The sequence below is a fragment of the Homo sapiens genome, chromosome 5 (assembly GCF_000001405.40).
Source record: "Homo sapiens chromosome 5, GRCh38.p14 Primary Assembly".
NCBI lineage: Eukaryota > Metazoa > Chordata > Mammalia > Primates > Hominidae > Homo > Homo sapiens.
The window spans coordinates 118404727-118425487 of record NC_000005.10 but is presented as its reverse complement, the minus strand read 5'-3'; the positions used below and the strand labels follow the sequence as shown (position 1 = coordinate 118425487).

At 38.1% G+C, this 20761-nt stretch overlaps 1 long non-coding RNA gene across 1 annotated transcript in view, besides 1 other annotated feature; it reads left to right on the top strand.

The window, feature by feature from the left end:
* LINC02208 (long intergenic non-protein coding RNA 2208) overlaps nt 1-20761 on the top strand; it is a 211152-nt gene that overhangs the window by 136630 nt on the left and 53761 nt on the right. The window lies entirely within an intron of this gene.
* Nucleotides 19717-20217: an enhancer, noted in NCBI's record as "H3K4me1 hESC enhancer chr5:117740966-117741466 (GRCh37/hg19 assembly coordinates)". NCBI's record gives its function as "activates a minimal SCP1, AML or CMV promoter by ChIP-STARR-seq in primed H9 embryonic stem cells {active_cell/tissue: H9 hESC(primed)}" and the evidence as "EXISTENCE:reporter gene assay evidence [ECO:0000049][PMID:30033119]".

Here is a 20761-nt window from a genome sequence, read left to right as displayed (position 1 = left end):
GGAAGGGGTGTACTTTCAATTTTCTTCATATGGCTAGCCAGTCCTCCTACCACCATTTATTAAATAGGAATCTTTTCTCCATTGCTTGTTTTTGTCAGGTTTGTTGATCAGATGATTGTAGATGTGTGCTCTTATATCTGAATTTTCTATTGTGTTCCATTGGCCTGTGTTTTTGTAGCAATACTATGCTGTTTTAGTTACTGTAGCCTTGTAGTATAGTTTGAAGTTGGGTAGCACGATGCCTCCAGCTTTATTCCTTTTGCTAAGGATTGCCTTGGCTATACAGGCTCTTTTGTGATTCCATATGAATTTTAAAATAGCTTTTTCTAATTCTGTGAAGAACATCAATGGTAGTTTAATGAGAATAGCATTGATTCTATAAATAACTTTGGGCAGTGTGGCCATTTTCATGACATTGATTCTTTCTATCCATGAGCATGGAATGTTTTTCCATTTGTTTGTGTCATCTGATTTTTCTGAGCAGTGGTTTGTAGTTCTCCTTGAAGAGGTCCTTCACTTCCCTTGTTGGCTGTATTTCTGCGTATCTTATTCTCTTTGTAGCAGTTGTGAATGGAAGTTCATTTATGATTTGGCTCTCTGTCTATTGTAGGTATATAGGAATGCTTGTGATTTTTGCACAGTGATTTTGTATCCTGAGACTTTGCTGAACTTGCTTATCAGCTTAAGAAGCTTTTGGGCTGAGATCATTGGGTTTTCTAAATATACAGTCATGTCATCTACAAACTGAGACAATTTGACTTCCTCTCTTCCTATTTGAATACCTTTATTTCTTTCTCTTGCCTGATTGCCCTGGCAAGAACTTACAATACTGTGTTGAATAGGAGTGGTGAGAGAGGGCATCCCTGTCTTGTGCTGATTTTCAGGGGGAATGCTTCCAGCTTTTGCTCATTCTGTATGATTTTGGCTGTGGGTTTTTCATAAATGGCTCTTATTATTTTGAGACATGATCCTTCAATACCTAGTTTAGGGAGAGTTTTTAACATGAAGGGATGTTGAATTTTATTGAAGGCTGTTTCTGCATCTATTGAGATAATAATGTGGTTTTTGTCTTTAGATCTGTTTATGTGATGAATTACATTTATTGATTCGCATATTGTGAACCAGTCTTGCATCCTGGGGATGAAGCTGACTTGATCGTGGTAGATGAACTTTTTGATGTGCTGCTGAATTCAGTTTGCCAGTATTTTATTGAGGCTTTTTGCATCAATGTTCATCAGGGATATTGGCCTGAAGTTTTCTTTTTTTTATTGTATCTCTGCCAGGTTTTGGTATCAGGATGATGCTGGCCTCATGAAATGAGTTAGGGAGGTGTCCCTCCTTTTCAATTGTTTGGAATAGTTTCAGAAGAAATGGTACCAGCTCCTCTTTGTACCTTTGGTGGAATTCAGCTATAAATCTGCCTGGTCCTGGACTTTTTTTGTTTCATAGCCTATTTATTACTGCCTCAATTTCAGAACCTGTTATTTGTCTATTCAGGGATTTAACTTCTTCCTGATTCAGTCTTGGGAGGGTGTATATGTGTAGGACTCTATCCATTTCTTTTTCTTTCAGATTTTCTAGTTTATTTGCATAGAGGTGCTTATAGTGTTATTTGACAGTTGTTTGTATTTTGGTGGGGTCAGTGGTGATAACCCTTTTATCATTTTTATCGTGTCTATTTGATTCTTCTCCTTTTTTTTCTTTATTAGTCTATCTAGTGGTCTATTTTATTAACTTTTACAAAAAGCCAGCTCCTGGATTTGTTGATTTTGTTTGAAGGGTTTTTGTGTCTGTCTTCTTCAGTTCTACTCTGATCCTGATTATTTCTTGTCTTCTGATACCTTTGGGGTTTGTTTATTCTTGGTTCTTTAGTTCTTTTAGTTGTGATGTTGGGATGTTGATTAGAGATCTTTCTAGCTTTTCGATGTGAGCATTTAGTGCTATAAATTTTTCTCTTAACACTGCTTTAGATGCATCCCAGGGATTCTGATATGTTGTCTCTTTGTTCTCATTAGTTTCAAAGAACTTCTTGATTTCTGCCTTAGTGATTCTCCTGCCTCAGCCTCCTAAGTAGCTGGGACTATAGCCACGCCACCAAGCCTGGCTAATTTTTATATATTTTTTAGTGGAGATGGAGTTTTAACATGTTGGCCAGGCTGGTCTCGAACTTCTGACCTCAAGTGATCCACCTGCCTCAGCCTCCTTAAGTGAGTTGTGTGGTTTTGAGTGAGTTTCTTAATCTTGAGTTTTTTTTTTTTAATGCTTTAAGTTCTAGGGTACATGTGCACAACGTGCAGTTTTGTTACATATGTATACATGTGCCATGTTGGTGTGCTGCACCCATTAACTTGTCATTTACATTAGGTATTTCTCCTAATACTATCCCTCCCCACTCCCCCTACCCCCCAGTAGGCCCTGCTGTGTGATGTTCCCCACCCTGTGTCCAAGCATTCTCATTGTTCAATTCCCACCTATGAGTGAGAACATTAGGTGTTTGGTTTTCAGTCCTTGTGATAGTTTGCTCAGAATGGTTTCCAGCTTCATCCATGTCCCTACAAAGGACATGAACTCGTCGTTTTTTATGACTGCATAGTATTCCATGGTGTATATGTGCCACATTTTCTTAATCCAGTCTATCATTGATGGACATTTGGGTTGGTTCCAAGTCTTTGCTATTGTGAATCGTGCCGCAATAAATATACGTGTGCATGTGTCTTTATAGTAGCATGATTTATAATCCTTTGGGTATATACCCAGTAATGGGATGGCTGGGTCAAATGGTATTTCTAGTTCTAGATCTTTGAGGAATCACCACACTGTCTTCCACAATGGTTGAACCAGTTTATAGTCCCACCAACAGTGTAAAAGTGTTCCTATTTCTTCACATCCTCTCCAGCACCTGTTGTTTCCTGACTTTTTAATGATCGCCATTCTAACTGGTGTAAGATGGTATCTCACTGTGGTTTTGATTTGCATTTCTCTGATGGCCAGTGATGATGAGCATTTTTTCATGTGTCTGTTGGCTGCATAAATGTCTTTTGAGAAGTGTCTGTTCATATCCTTTGCCCACTTCATGATGGGGTTGTTTGATTTTTTTCTTGCAAATCTGTTTAAGTTCTTTGTAGATTAATTTAATTGTGCTGTTGTCTGAGAGACTGTTATGATTTCAGTTCATTTGCATTTGCTGAGTGTTTTACTTCCAATTATGTAATTGATTTTAGAGTAAGTGCCATGTGGTGTTGAGAATAATGTATATTCTGTTGTTTTAATGTGGAGAGTTTTGTAAATATCTATCAGGTCCACTTGATCCAGAGCTGAGTTCAAGTCCTGATTATCTTTGTTAATTCTCTGACCTGATGATCTAACATTGACAATGGGGTGTTAAAGTCTTGCACTAGTATTGTGTGGACATCTAAGTCTCTTTGTAGGTCTCTAAAAACTAGTTTTTAGGATTCTGGGTGCTCCTGTATTGGGTCCATATATATTTAGGACAGTTAGCTCTTCTTGTTGAATTGAACCCTTTACCATTATGTAATGCCATTCTTTGCCTTTTTTGCTCATTGTTGGTTTAAAGTCTGTTTTGTCGGGAACTAGGGTTGTAAACCCTACTTTTTTCAGTTTTCCATTTGCTTAGTAAATTTTCCTCCGTCCCTTTATTTTGAGCCTATGTGTGTTTTTGCCCATGAGATGGGTTTCTTGAATACAGCACACTGATGGGTCTTGACTCTTTATCCATCTTGCCATTCTGTGCCTTTTAATTCGGGCATTCAGCCTATTTATATTTAAGGTTAATATTGTTATGTGTGAATTTGATCTCATCATCATGATGCTAGCTGGTTATTTTGCAGACTTGTTAATGTAGTTGCCTCATAGTGTCCTTAGTCTGTGTACTTCAGTGTGTTTTTGCAGTCACTAGTAACGGTTTTCCTTTCCATATTTAGTGCTTCCTTCAGGAGTTCTTGCAAGGCAGGCCTGGTGATTATGAATTCCCTCAGCATTTGCCTATCTAAAATGGATTTTATTTCCCCTTCACTTATGAAGCTTAGTTTGGCTGGATATGAAAATCTGGGTTGGAAATTCTTTTCTTTAAAGATGCTGAATAATAGCCCCAATCTCTTCTGGCTGTAGAGTTTCTGCTGAGAGGTCTGCTGTTAGTGTGATAGGCTTTGCTTTGTAGGTGACCTGGCCTTTCTCTCTAGATGCCTTTAACATTTTTTTCTTCATTTCAACCTTGGAGAATCAGATAATTGTGTCTTGGAGTTGATCTTCTCATGCAGTATTTTACTGGGGTTCTCTGGATTTCCTGCATTTGATTGTGGGCCTTTGTTGCTAGATTGGGAAAGTTCTCCTGGATGATGTCCTGAAGTATGTTTTCCAGTTTCATTCTGTTCTCCCCATCTCTTTCAGGTACCCCAATCAGTCATAGGTTCAGTCTTTTTACATAATCCTGTAGTTCTCAGAGATTTTGTTTGTTCCTTTTTATTTTATATTACTTTAATCTTGTCTGTCTGTCTTATTTCAGCAAGATAGTCTTCAAGCTCTGTGATTCTTTCTCCCCCTTGGTGCGTTCAGCTTGTGATAATTACAGTTGCATTGTGAAGTTCTTGTGTTGTGTTGTTCAGCTCCATCAGCTTATTTATGTTCCTCTTTCAACTGATTATTCTGGATAACAGCTCCTGTGGTATTTTATCATGGTTATTAGCTTATTTGCATTGGGTTAGAATATGCTGCTTTAGCTCAGTGAAGTTTATTACCCACCTTCTGAAGCCTACTTCTGTCAGTTCGTTCATCTCAGCCTTTGCCCAGTTCTGTCCCCTTGCTGGAGAGGTGTTGTGATCATCTGGAGGAGAGGAGGCATTCTGGCTTTTTTTTATTGTTGTTGATTCTTTCTCACCTTTGTTACTTTATCTACCTTTGATCTTTGAGGCTGCTGATCTTTCAAATGGGGTTTTTGTGTTTTTATGTTGTTGTTGTTGATGATGCTGTTATTGTTGGTTTCTGTTTGTTTTTCTTTTAGCAGCCAGGCCCCTCATCTGTAGGGCTGCTCAGGTTTGCTGGGAATCCACTCCAGACCCTATTCTCCTGGGTTCCTCTTGCACCTGGAGGTGTCACCAGTGGAGGCTACAGAGCAGAAAAGAAGGCTGCCTGCTCCTTCCGCTGGGAGTTCTGTCCCAAAGGGGCATGAACCTGATGCTGGCAGGAATACTTCTGTATAAGGTGTCTGATGACCCCTGTTGGGGGATCTTACCCAGTCAGGGGGCATGAGATCAGGGGCCTGCTTAATGAAGCACTATGGCTACCCTTGGTTGGAGGGTGTGCACTGCTTTGGGAGGAATCCCCCTCCTCTGTACTGCTCAGTCTCTTCGGAGCCGGCAGGCAGGAAAGGCTAAGTCTGCTGTTCCACTGAGATTGTGGCCACCCCTCCCACAAGGGGCTCCATCTCAGGGAGTTCACAATTCTGTCCTTAAACTCCTGGTTGATGTTGATGAAATTCCCAAAGGGAGATCCCATTCGTGAGGAGGAATGGATCTGGGTCCCACTTAAAGAAACAGTCTGGCTACGATCTGCCATAGTTGCTGTTCTGCACTGTGGGGAAATCCTCCCAGTCCTAACTGCCCAGTCTCCCTGGTATCAGCAGGGGAAAATGGCAGGCTGAAGCCACAATGATAGTTGTTGCCCCTCCTTCTGGAACTCGGTCATCTTAGGCAGAGTCCAGCATGCTGCCTCTGGCTGCAACCTGGCGTGGCTGCTGAGCCTCTGCATATCTCTGTGTTTGGGACCCAAGGCCCTGATGGTGTGGGCTCACAAGGGGATCTCCTGATCTATGGGTTGCACAGATCTGTGAAAGAAAGCATGGTTTTCTGAGTGGGGTGGCACAACTACTCACCATCTCCCTTGACTGGTGGTGGAAGCTCCCCTTGAGCCATGTGGCTCCTGGGTGGGCCATTGTTCCACCCTGCTTTTCCTCGCTCTCTGTGGGTAGCACCAACTGCCTAGTCAGTCCCAAAGAGAGAACCTGGATACCTCAGGGGAAGGTGCAGGATTCACTCGCTGTTTTCATTCTTCTCAGTTGTAGCCTCCAACTGCAGCTGCTTCTAGTCGACCATCTTGGCCCCTCTCCTATATTGTTTTTCATAATAGTTCCTTATGATCCTTTTTATTTTGAGGGGCCTATTGTAACATTTTCACATTCATTTTTGATTTTATATATTGGAGTCTTTTCTTTTTTTCTTAGTCTAGGTAAAGGTCTTAAAATATTGTTTATTTAAAAAAATTCTTAGTTTTGTTGATTTGTTTCTGTGGTCTTTCTGTTCTCTATTTGATTTATTTCTGTTCTGATCTTTATTATTTCTTTCTGCTAACTTTAGGTTTAGTTTGTTCTCCTTTTCCTAGTTCCTTGAGGTGTATGCCTGGGTTGTTTTATTGTTTTACCCAAGGTTTATGCAATTTTATTTTTGATGTGGTGGTGATGATGCTGCTTCACATGATCTGTTTATCTATTTTTACCCCCAAAATTTGAATGCACTAAGTAAGTATTAGGATTGCAAAGCATAAATCAATTCTGGTTAAATAACAGATAACTCTGTAGCATAAATATGTTCAAACATAACTGGTTCCCCGTATTTATTTTTGAGAATTCTGACAACTGTACCCTAAACTTAGAGGTGTTTAAATGCTGAGGAGACTAAAATGACAAATGTTTAGTAAAATTGGTTAAACGTCAAGATTTAAGCTAAATCAGTTTATAAAACCAGTATTATAATACAGTTTACCCTTGAATAACGTGGGTTTGAACTGCATAGGTCCACTTATACACGGATCTTCATCCTCCTCTGTCACCCGCAAGACAGCAAGACCAATCCCTCTTCTGCTTCCTCCTTTTCAGCCTACTCCACATGAAGACAATGCGGATGAAGACCTTTATGATGTTCCACTTCCACTTAATGCATACTAAATATATTTTCTCTTCTTCATGATTTCCTTAATAACATTTTCTTTTTCCTAGCTTACTTTATTGTAATAATACAGTATATAATACATACAACATACAAAATGTCAATCAACTGCTTATGTTATTGATAGAGCTTCTGTTCAACAGGAGGCTATTTAGTAGTTAAGTTTTTGATGAATGAAAAGTTATATGTGGATTTTTGACTATACAGGGTGAGGTGAAGGAGCTGTCCGTTCCCCTAACCCCTATGTTGTTCATGGGTTAACTATATAGATGTACAGTTGTCCCTTGTTGTCCATGGGGGATGGGATTTGTTTTAGGACACCCCGCAAATACCAAAATCCATGCATTCTCAAATCCTGCAATCGGCCCCATGGAACCCATGTATATTAAAGTCTGCCCTCCAGATAAGAGGATTTCACATCCTGCAAATATTCTATTTTTAATTGGTGTTTGGTTGAAAAACTCCATGTAGAAGTGAACCTGTGCCGTTTAAGCATGTGTTGCTCAGGGGTCAATTGTGTATAAAGGTCTGTAGGAGAACATCTGAGAAAGCAAATTTATTTATTTAGACTAGAAGTTGGATGGAGATTTTTGCAAAGCTGCAGAGTGAGTGGGAATTTTGAGCTGGGCTTCAAATGAATAGGAGTTTGCCAACTAAGGAAAAAAAGGAGGAACTTCACCCAGAAAGAGTGACGTGGACCAAGAAATAGTCACAAAATTACTGTCATGAGTTTGATGTGGTTTGCACAATGGGTTTAGGTGTGTGAGAAGTGATGAAAGATGAGTCTGCAGAAGGAGCATGGGGCAAGGTTGAGAAGTGTTTCATGTAGTAGAAGAAACAGGGATCCTTTGGGTACTTTTGAATCATAGTTGGGCTGTGAAACCTTGCTTTAGCTGCAAAACTACTAAGCATGAACTTGATCTTGGTTTTGTATGATGTTAAGTATCTTGAGTCCTCAAGAGAAAAAGAATTACTTTAAGTCACTCAGTTTTTAAAAGTATGCTTGTTCGGTGGGAAGTCTATCAGTGTCTGGTTTGTGGGGGACTCTGAAATTGTGGCGTCAAACCAATTAGACCCGTTAAAAATATGAGACAGGAAAGGAACCTTTGAGGTAACAAGTGAGTCAAAGTGCATTAGATTTGTTTCAAGTTAATTAGGTTGTGAATGAATAAGTATAATGACTTTTTGAGACTTTCCTTTCAACAGCTAATCTATCCACTTTTCCTAGGCTTTAGAAAAGATCAACCCTTGAAATTAAGTCAGTTTTTACTCAAGATGAAAGTATGTTGTGGTGGAATGCACAGTAACTGTTTTATTACTTTGGGATTTTTTGTTTTAATTCAGGGAAAAGACTCCCTCTGTCAAAGTTCACAAGGAGTGAATATTTGTCTGTTATTTTTTTAAGGGAAATAAGTAGATAATTTTTGAACAGCTATGCATGCCAAGACAAATTCACTTGTCCCCCAGTTGGCTTGCAGTCTGAAAACTTAAATCAGATAGGAATGTAATCTCAAAACCTTTTTCCATGGCTTAAAATAATTTTTAGCACATTAGTTTTTGCTCTATTCAATTGTTATTTCATTAGTTTTAGACGTATCTCAGGCACTTTGAGTGACATCAAGCCTGAAGACTTTTTGATAAATGAAATTAAGCACTTACTTAATTTTACTTTTTTTTTGGCCTGTAATACATATCGGAGTTTTTTTCTAATTTCTGAGTATATATGCTATTAAAAAAAGTCAGAAAAAAACAGTAGTGTAAGATTTTAAGTGGCTTTTAAAAAGAGAAACTACTTGATTACTTATAAATTATGTTACTTATTTTTAAATCTGCTTCTGCCTCCCACATTAATATATGATAATGGGGATTTGGTGCACAGAAATACCGAATAGGCCCTGTTCATATTTATGCATTAAGAGATTTACACCATTGTGTTATAGGAGATGTACACACACATACATATGTATATATATTTATACACATTTGCACATATACAATGCAAATGTGCATTTTGAGAAATGATATTTTATAAGGAGCCAATAATAGTACTTGAACATAAATAATGTAGAAATAGGCAAGCTGAGACTAACTTTGGGAAAGAGTAGAAAGTGTGCATTGAGATAAAGAAGGACTAACAGAGGTAAAAACAAAACAAAACAAAAAAAAACTGAACATAGCAGAAAGAAATGTTAAGAGAAATATTTGCTCTAACCTGACTGGGCTGGGTGTCTAAAAACGAGGACCATCTTTCAAAGAATAACCAGAAAAATGAGCAGAAATAGAGAACCATTTTGAGGGTGTTAAGGGGATGCTACATAGGCATTTTTTTTGGCTTGACACAAGCAATTTTAGCCATTCTATGGCCAGAAAGACCTGTGTTTTCTTAGTTCTAGAACCTCACTGACTACAGAGTAGTGTTCTGGAGATGACAAAAGGAGCTAGCTTCCTATTAGTTAAAGCTATATTCATTCCAATGAAGTTCCATAATTTATCCGTGGAGAACATGAATGCCTTTTAATATACTAATGCCTATATACTTTATATGCTTTGATACTATGATATTGTAAGATGATTTTTTCTTTTTAATTAAGTTTTCATGTAGTGTGCTGCTCTTATATAGAAATGCAAATGACTTTCCTATACCCAGCCACCTTGTCAATAGATCTACAAATTGAGTTTTTCAATCCAATTGATTTTATCATTTGCAGATAAGGAGGACTTTATTTTCCCATTTCTAATTTTTCTTTTTCCAGTCTTTATTGTGCAAGTGAGGGTCTCTAGCTCGGTATTGAATAGAAATGGTAATAGGCTTTTTTTTTTTTTTTTTTTTGAGACGGAGTTTTGCTCCTGTTGCCCAGGCTGGAGTGGTGTAATGACGCGATCTTGGCTCACTGCAACCTCCGCCTCCCAGGTTCAAGCAATTCTCCTGCCTTAGCCTCCCAAGTAGCTGGGATTACAGACATGCACCACCACGCCTGGCTAATTTTGTATTTTTAGTAGAGACGGGGTTTCTCCATGTTGAGGCTGGTGTCGAACTCCTGACCTCAGGTGATCTGCCTGCCTCAGCCTCCCAAAGTGCTGGGATTACAGGTGTAAGCCACTGCGCCTGGCCCGTAATAGGGATTCTTGTAACATTCCTGACTTTACCAAGAATGTGGCTGCATTTTCCCCTTTAAGGTGGAATTTTCTTTAGTTTTTTAAAAATGGTTACTGCTTCTCAGGTTAAATGAATTTACCAAGTTTTTTTATTTCAATATTTTTATTTTTTCAAGTTTTATTGAGATATACTTGGCAAATAAAAATTGTACATATTCAAGGTGTATAACATGATGATTTGAAATCTGTATACATTGGGTAATGATTACCATAATCGATTTAATCAACACATCCATCACCATACATAGTTACACTTTGTGTGTGGCCAGGGGTGAGGACACTTAAGATCTTCTTTCAGCAAATTTCAAGTAAACAGAACAGTATTATTCACAATAGCCTCCATGCTGTACATTAGAGTCCCCAAACTTATTTATCTTATAACTGAAAATTTGTAATCTTTGGCCACCATCTCCTCATTTGCCCAACCTCCCAGCCTCTGGCAACCACCTCTCTAGTCTCTTCTTCTAGGAGTTAGCCTTTTTTAGATTTCATATATAAGTGAGATCATACAGTTTTTGTTTTCCTATGTCTGACATTTTGCTTAGCATGATGTCCTTCAGGTTCATCCCTCTTATCTCATATGCAAGATTCCTTCTCTTTTATGGCTGAATAATATTTTATGTACATATACCATATTTTCTGTATCCATTCATCCGTTGACAGACACTTAGTTTGTTTCCCTGTCTCGACTGCTGCGAATAATGCTGCAGTGAACAAGAGGGTAAAGACACCACTTTGACAATGATTTTATTTCCTTTGGATATATACCCTGCAAGGGACTTCTGGGTCACATGGTAGTTCCATTTTCAAGTTTTTGAGGAACTCCATACTGTTTTCCATGATGGCTGTACTAGTTTACAATCCCTTGTACACTAACAGTATACAAGGGTTCCCTTTTCTTCAGACCCTCACCAATACTTGTTATCACTTGTTGTTTTGAGTAACAGTCATCCTAACAACGTGCTGTGCCATCTCATTGTGGTTTTGATTTGCGTTTCCCTGATGACTACTAATGTTGAGTTTCTTTTCATATATCTGTTTGCTATTTGCATATCTTTAAAAAAAAGTCTATTCAGGGTTGTTTGCCCATTTTTTAATTGAGTTGTTTTTTTGCTATTGAGTTGCATGAGTTCATTATATACTTTGGATATTAACCCCTTATCAGATATAGGCTTTGCAAATATTTTCTCCCATTCTATGGTTGTCTTTTCATTTTGCAGATTGTTCCCTTTGCTGTGCAAAAACTAAGTTTGATGTATTTCCAGTTGTCCATTTGTGCTTTTTTGTCTGTGCTTTTGATGTCATACCAAAAAATGATTGCCAAGGCCAATGTCAAGGACATTTTAAGCTATGTTTTCTACTAGGAGTTTTATGATTTCGGGTCTTACATTTAAGTCTTCATCTTGAGTTAATTTTTGTATATAGTGTAATCTAAAGGTCCACTAAGAAATGTTTCAAAATCACAAATGAGAGTGAATTTTATTAAATCCTTTTTATGTATTCATTGAGATTATAATATGTTTTTTCTCTTTTAATATGTTGAAATAAAATATAGATTTTTCTAATACTAACTTATCCTTACATACTTGAAATATACAGTTGCATTTGATTTGCTATTAATTTTAGATTTTTGCATCTATTGCCATGAGTGCAGTGAGCCTGTAATTTTTTTAATGTATTTTTTTGATATTGGTATCAGGGTTATATTGGCTTCATAGAATGAGTTTGGAATAATATATTTTGTTTATATTTTATAAAACTGGTGTACTTTGTGTTCTTTAAATATTTGTTGTAAATTTCTTATAAAATCATCTGGGCCTGTTTACATTGTAGAAATAATCTTCAAATACATTTTAAAATAGTTATTGGACCATTTACACTTTTTATTTCTTTATTGAGTCAGCATTTTAAGTTATATTTTTCTAAAATTAGTCCATTTTATCTAACTGTTATGAATTCTTGACGTATAATTCTTGATAGGATCTTTTCTTTCTGATATATACTTAATATCTTTCTGTAGTTATTAGTAATACTTCTTATTCTCTTGATCAATTTTGCTAAAGTCTTCTTTACTCTTTTTTTTTAACCCATTTTGGTCTTTGCTAATCTAGTATATTTTCTAATATGTCCTTGCTTATTTTTATTTTCTACTGTTTTATTTTGTCTTTGTTACTTTTTAAGATGATATCATACGGGGGTTTTCACAATTATCTGTATTTTGGTTCTCCAGTTCTTCCAGCATTGACCTAAGCCAAAGGATTCAATAATATTACTAAGTTTACACTGAATTACATGAACTTACATTAATAACTAAATTATTTTGAAGCTGTCTTCTTCTAACAAGTGTTTATAACTATTAACACTACAACTATTGCTTTTGCCTCATCCCACTAATTATTATCAAAGGGGTTTTTTATTATCAGTTAAAAACATTTTAAAATTATTATGATTTAAAAAATTCCTGAGTTATTTAGCATTGCATTTTTAAATTTCCAGTTATGTATATGCCTGAGAAAAATATGTATCTTCTATTAATAGTTTCATTAGACCAAACTTGCTTATTGGGGTTTTTGGGTTTTATATAGCTATGTTTTTTTAATGCTCTGCCTATCAATAATTGAGAGAGATGTGTTGAAGCCTTTCACTATGATAGTGAGTCTGTCAAATTGTTGCTGAAATTTTCTCAACTTTTGTATTTTGAGGCTATTAGATACTAACATACATATGTGTTTTAAATTGTTCCATCATTTTGGCAAATTGAGGTCTTCATCAGTATGTAATGACTCTCTTCATTCTTAAAAAATACATTTTCTCTAAGAGTCTATTTTATGTGTTATTATAATATAACCATACCATTTGTCTTTTGTTTTTGTTTTTGTTTGGTTTGTTTTTTAGATGGAGGCTCATTCTGTTGCTCAGGCTGGAGTACAGTGGTGTGATCTTGGCTCACTGCCTCCCAGGTTCAAGCAATTCTCTGCCTCAGCCTCCCGAGTAGCTGGGATTACAGGTGCCCACCACCATGCCTGGCTAATTTTTGTATTTTTAGTAGAGATGGGGTTTCACCAAATTGGCCAGGCTGGTCTTGAACTCCTGACCTCATGATCTACCCACGTCGGCCTCCCAAAGTGCTGGGATTACAGATGTGAGCCACCTGTGCCAGGCCAACCATACCAATTTTATTTTGGTATTTTGCTGATACACCATTTGCTCCCAACATTTAACGTCATTATGTTTTTAATGTGTTACTTATAAGTAGTATGTCTCAGTCATCTTAATTTTCTAGTTTATTACATATATTTTAATTACTGATTTACTTGGATCAACTTTTTTTTTTACCAACTTTACCAATTGACTTTGTTCCATTTTATGTTTCTTCTAAATTCTTGATTACTTTATGATTCGAGTTGATATTTATACCTCTCTCCTAATAAGACAAAACCTCAGCACTTTCTCCATCGATGAGCTTCCCCCTCCTAAACCCAGGCAAAAGCCACCTGCTCTCCCATGCCTTCCACATACATACATAAACACTAGTTCAAAATAGCTCATCATTATTCTGAGGGTTTAAATTTTCTGCATTTTCATTTTTGAGGTACTTCAGGATTGATCTCGGCGAAAAGATTCAACAGTTTTACTAGATTTATATCTTATCAGGACTGAAGCCCTATTTTTAGAGTCAATATTTCTTCTACAACTGTTGTCAACCGCAGTTTGTGTACTTTGGTGTGGCTAGTTCTCTGAGATTACTTATGTCACAGTTAAGCAGATTTGGAAATATAATCAGGATGTTTTGCTTTACATGCGGCCCTTTTGATGGAAGGTAGAGGTGGTCTAATTTTTCTTTTTTTGGGGGGTGACAGATTAAAGTTTAATGTTAGCTTTTTTTTAAAGTTTAAAATTTGATCCTTTTGGTGAAGTTCATAATTTTTTAAAAAATGATGTTTATTTCAAATGTTGAAGGGACAGAGATTGACTATTTCTAAATTGGCCAGTCTGTTCTCACCCCATTTGGAGAAATATTTCCAGCTGCTCAAAACCATTGGTGTACTTCAGATGCACAAATGCTTCTCAGCTTAAAGTTATCCACAAGCACTGTAATACATTGAGTAGATACTGATATGGGCTTTTTCAATCTCATGGCTATATTTAGGTGTTGGCATCCATTACCTCGGATTTTTTACTTTTCATGATCTGGTATTTGATTCTGTGTATCCTTAAGTCTAACTTTGTCTACCCTCTAAGCACTTTTCTCAGAAGTGAACTCACTTTAACACCTTATCTCAGGACTGATATTTTAAATCAGATTATCTATTATGCATATTTTAAGGAAATATTATTGCCATGAAGACGAAGTTACACTAAGGTATTTGGATTGTACAATCTTAAAATTTTTTCAGTCAGAAAATACTGAGAGTGTGATATGTATTAGATTTTGTCAAGGTAATGGAGGAGGTAATAATACATAGTCCAATTATTCCTGTCTCTTTAAATAACATAAACTTAGGGGACAGAGTTTATATCCTAAAACATTAAGAAAATTTATTAATTCACTATGAAAATTTACTACACAAGCATACGAATTTTGAAGTCTAAGATACTCACCTTCTCTTTTAGGTGAGCACTTCAGCATTACCAGCAGATAGTTGGTGTGTATTGATTTAGAAAAGGGACTTTGTCTATATGACAGCTGTAGGCTAATGCATATTGATTGCAATAGGAATTGTCCTTTAATTTGCTGCTTTTTCTTTTTTTGACCAAGCATACAAGAATGGCCATTGTCAACATATACTTTGATCAACCCTCTCAAACAGAGAAACATTTTTCTTTGATATCAAATCATGTGATAACTCAGTCTTATTGGCTTTGGAGCCATTCTGCTTCATTTAGATGAATTTGTATCTGTATTTGTTTTGATCATTTTGACATGAGTTATTATTAAGTGGTAAGATTAGTTCTCAAGAAGGTATTCTTATTCCTGTTTTCCAGGGTTTTTTTTTTTTTTTTTGAGGGAAGGGATAAATCCCCAGTAGAGGTTATAAACTGTATTTTCCTTATTTCAGAAGTGCTAATAATTTTAGCTTAATTCACAATAAAATCTTTCAAGTAGTATTGTAATTTTAATTTACTTTTAATTACCTTGATGTACTAAATTTATTTTTGTCTTTAAATTTTAGATAAGCTGATAGAGTATCCTATGTAGTGAGTTTTGGGTGTGCCAGTCTTCTGATAAAGTATTTGCAATTGGGACAGTTTTACATATGGAACATAATTTACAGTTAATTTCTTTCCATACATTGATTTCAGAAGCTACATATCTAGAATATTTGGTATATCTAGGCTCTTGTTTGTAGGCCAGTTGTAGTCCACCTTGCTATATGAATATCCTGGCTAGTATTAGAATATGGAAATAAAGATTAAGAAAATTCATATTAACTAAGGCTTTGAGAACTGTAGTAAAAATTAATATTAGAAACTTTCATATTTTCAATAATTTTTTTGGTGTTCAATCTTTATTTCAATCTTCTTCACTTCTACAGTGTCATATTTGTGTTCCTTATTTATCACTAAAAAATCCCAGTATTTCAAACATGTAGATAAGAAAAATTTAAAAATATAGAATAAAACACATGTATTAGAACATTGTGACATAAAATTGGGCTGTGACCATCACATAATATTCCTGTTATACAATTTTTAGGTTAAAAAGATATATGAACACCTTTGGTATAGAGCAAATGGTGTTTTATTTTATTCAGCTGAAATCAATGGCTGAACTGTTAAAGAAGAAACTTTGACAGAGCATCAGATTTGGTGGTACTGTCAGAGGCTGTCCTCTGACAGGGTGAAAAACCTGATTTATTAACTGAAATGAGGTCCTAAAGAACACATAATAACAGATACAGTTGAACCCAAACCTGTCAAGATTTGATGGCTAAGCTCACGAAGTTCCAAAGTAACCTGTGGATAAAAGTTTAATTTTTCCCCCAAAATGGACTTACTGTGTACATCTAACTTTTATAGTAGATCAAAAGGAAAATTGATTTTTTTTCTACATGAGTGAAATAGAAAATACAAGTTATGGAATTTCATAGAGTGAAAAATTATATGAGAGGAATGAAATTGAGGTTGGTATTCCTCATTTGCACAGTTTCTAGAAGGACTGTAGGGAGGAGAAAACAAAGCAAAACAAATTAGTAAAACTCCACTCAGAAAAGCCAGAATACTGAAGGGGCAAAACAGTCTCAGCTGCGCTACGAAGTTGCACAGAACTTCTGCATTTGCTGCTGGGCGTTAACTTCACCTTGACTTTCTGAACCTCAATCTTTTCCTGTCTTTTCTGCTGATGCTTTATTGGTAAGCCATGTTGTTAAAATTCAGTTTAAATGTAATCTCTTGGTCAAAATGTCTAAGCAGAACAGCAATTGATGCCATGAAATGCAGTGATGGGCTGGTGGTAAACCTATCTGGAACTGCAGAGCTGTTTTTCAATCCAGACAGTCTGAGGGGGAAGTCAATTTTAAAGTTGCTACCTGCAAGATGAAGAGAAGTGAGGCCTTCAGTAGTGAATATTCTCCCTATTTGCCCTCATTCGTTTTATGTGAAGACATCTGTATTGACACTAAAATGACTCTGGAGAAACATTCTCCATGTGTGTTGTGTGTGTTGTATGTGTGAAATGGTAGATTGATAAAAACAAAATCAAGAAAAAGAGAGCTTAAATGTTTATCTTTTGATAAATACCTGCTTGTTTTGGGAAAGAATATAATATACGTCCTGTTCAAAAGCTGGCGAGATTGAGGTTTTATAATTTGGGTTTACGAAAAAAGATTTGTGTGTGGAAGCTTTGGACTGTGAAAAGAATCTACAGCATTCTTCGATCAAAATAGCTCCTTAGTCACTCTGAACCTTAGTTTTTTTTTTTTACTTCGGCTATTTGATTTCCCAATTTAGGCCTCCTTGAACAGCTAGTGCATTGTAATGCATGGCTACTGTCTATAGGCCCATCTTTTGTGGAATGTCTTCCATTAATCAGGGGGATGTCCCCACCTCCCCCATACACACACACACACACAGAGTTCTCTCTACATCTTCCAGTTTAGAGACTTTAAGCTCAATTGCCAGATGGAGAAGCTAGCCAAACAATCCAAAACATCCTAACTCCACTTGCTGTGGGAATTTAGGGGACAGAATACCCAAGGGAAACATCTGGTAGCAAAGATGAACACCATCTGTTCTGGATGTTTCCAATTTTAGGAGGTGCAGAGATTGGAAGAAGCTGATAAGAACTGTAAGGAAAAGCCTCACAAGCTAGTGAATATATTGGAATAAAATAGGGGTATCTAAAAATTCTGGTTTTTGAGATGGAAATAACAGTAATAAAGGAAATAAAGAAGCAGGATCTGTGAGATGATGGAGCCAATGGGTATGAATGAAGAAAGAAGGAAAAAAAGGAAGACACTTGGCTGTCCAAAGGCTTAGCAGAAGCAGAGGGTAGGGCTTGGGTTTGTGGAAGACATGGGCACACAGAGAGGGCGAGGCAAGTTCATTCCCAAGTTGGAAGCCTCCAAACACTCCCCTTGGAACTGGTAGAATGATGAAAATGTGCCTTGCGATAGCCTTAGAGTGTGACTTCTGTGCCACTGTTGTTTCACTGGGGGAGTGTGGATATTGCAGGCTGACAGCTGCCATGTAACCAGGACTAGGGAGATGCTGAGTTTAAGGGGACGTAATTCTAGGATGTGAAGTAGTTATGAAACTCTGTAGTAGCATGGTCCTTTTATTCTTATATATGATGAGACTGTTGGGCCTACGGTGAAATCTAATGAGCAGATTTGGTAGGTTTTGTTCAGACACAGCATTTTAACTTTGACTATAAATTACTCCCATTTGTTACACAAAATCAGTGTACAGAATTCAGTAACATTTCTATATCCCCAAAATGTTTAAGCAGAGAGTCAAATCAAGAACACCGTCTCATTTACGAGTGCCACAATAAAATGAAGTACCTAGGAATACAGCTAACCAAGGAGATGAAAGATCTCTACAAGGAGAGGTATAAAACACTGCTGAAAAAAATCAAATGACACAAATAAATGAAAAAACATTTCATGCTCATGGATTGGAAGAATCAATATTGCTAAAGTGGCCATAGTGCCCAAAGCAATCTATAGATTCAACACTAGTCCTATCAAACTACCAATGTCATTTTTCACAGAATTAGAAAAAAATATAAAATTAACACATGACATAGTTTGGATGTCCTCTCTAAATCTCATGCTGAATTATAATCCTCAGCATTGGGAGGTGACTGGGTTAGGGGGCCAGATTTTTCATGAATGGCTTAGTGCCATCCCCATGGTGCTGTCCTTGCAATAGTGAGTAAATTCTCATGAGATCTGGCTATTTAAAAGTGTGTGGTATCTTCCCCCTGTTCCTCTTGTTCCTGCCTCACCGTGTAAAGTATCTGCTCTCACTTTGTTTTCTGTCATGCTCCCTGAGGCCTCCTCAGAAGCTGAACACATGCTAGCACCATGCATATACAGCTTGCAGAACTGTGAGCCAATTAAACCTTTTTTTCTTTATAAATTACTCAGTCTCAGGTATTCCTAAGACTTCTTATAACTTGTGTTGTAGCAACACAAGAATGGCCTAACACAATATGGGACCACAAAAGAGCCCAAATAGGCAAAGCAATCCTAATCAAAAAGAACAAAGCTAGAGGCATCATACTACTGGACTTCAAACTATTATGTGACAGTAATCAAAACAGTTTGGTACTGGTACAAAAGCAGACACGTAGACCAGTGGAGCCCAATAGAAAACTCAGAAGTAAAGCCACACACTACAAATATGTGATCTTCAACAAAGTTAACAGAAGCAAACAACGGAGAAAGGGCTTTCTATTCAATAAATAGTGCTGGGACAATTATCTAGCTATATGAAGAATGAAACTAGACCCCTACCTTTTACCATATACAAAAGTTAACTTACGATGGGTTAAAGATTTAAATCTAAGAACTCAAACTACAGGGGAGGGGCCAAGATGGCCAACTAGAAACAGCTACAGTCAGTAGCTCTTACTGAGAAGAACAAAAACAGTGAGTGAATCCTGTACTGGCAATTGAGGTATGCAGGTTCTCTCACTGGGACTGACGAGGTGGTTGGCACAACCCACAGAGATTAAGGAAAACCAGAGTGGAGTGATGGCCCCCTCAGGAGCCCCATGGGGTAAAGGGGAGCTCCCACTCCCAGCCAAGGGAGGCAGTGAGTGACTGTGGTACCATGCTGGGAAACCATGCTTTTTCCATGGATCTGGGCAACCTGTGGATCAGGAGATACCCCTTGTGAGCCCATGCCACCAGGGCCTTTGATTCTCAAGCACAGAGCTATGCAGAATCTCTGTGGCTGCTGGGCTGGAGACTGCCTAAGACTACCGAGTTCCTGCGGGGAGGAGTGGCCATTATCACTGGGGCTGCCTGCTGCCTAAGATGACTGAGCTCCCTGTAGAGAGGTGTGGCTACCATCACTGCAGCTGCCTGCAGCGTCAGATGACTGAGCTCCCAGGGAGAGGGGTGGCTGCCATCACTGCAGCTGCTTGCTGTCTAAGATGACTGAGCTCCCTGGGAGAGTGGAGGCGACCATCACTGTGGCAGCCTGCTGCCTAAGCTGACTGAACTCTGGGGGAGAGGAGCGGCAGCCATCACTGCAACTCCAGTCTGCTGTCTTCCCCTGCTGGTGCTGGGGAAGCTGGGCAGTTTAGATCCAGGAGGAATTCTCCACAGTGCAGCACAGCAGCTGTAGCAGATTGTGGCAAGACTATCTTCTTTAGGCTGAACTTGGGCAGTGGCTCACGCCTGTAATCCTGGCACTTTAAGAGGCCGAGGGGGACAGATCACTTGAGGTCAGAGTTTGACACCAGCCTGACCAACATGGTGAATCCTAGTCTCTACTAAATATACAAAAATTAGGTGAGCGTGGTGGCTCTCACCTGTAATCTTAGCCACTTGGGAGGCTGAGGCAGGAGAATTGATTGAACCTGGGGAGCAGGGGTTGGGTTGAGCCAAGATCAGGCTACTATACTCCAGGCTGGGTGACAGAGCAGGACTCCGCCTCAGAAAGAAAATAACTTGGACCCATCCTTCCTCACCTGATGGGGGCCTCCTTGCGGGAATTTCAGCAACTCTAACCAGGGGTTTATAGACAGAACTCTGATCTCTCTGGGATGAAGCCCCTGGGGCAAGAGACAGCGCAGTCTCTGTGCATCAGCAGACTTAGGCTTTCCTGCCTGCTGGCTCTGAAGAGGCTGGACAGTCTGGACAAGGGACAGCCAGAGTGCTTCATTAAAAATGGGTCCCTCATCCTGTGCCTCCTGACAGGGTGAGACCCCCACCCCCCCCCACCGAGGAGGGCTTGCCAGACACCTTATACAGAAGCATTCCTACCAACATCAGCTCGGTGCCCCTCTGGGACAGAGCTCCCAGAGGAAGGAGCAGGCAGCCATCTTTGCTGTTCTGCAGCCTCCATGAGTGACAACTCCACATGTGGGAGAAACCCAGTGGAATAGGGCCTGGAGTGAACCTTCAGCAAACTGTAGCAGCCCTAGGGAAGAGGGGCCTAACTGTTAAAAGGAAAACAGAAAGCAACAACAA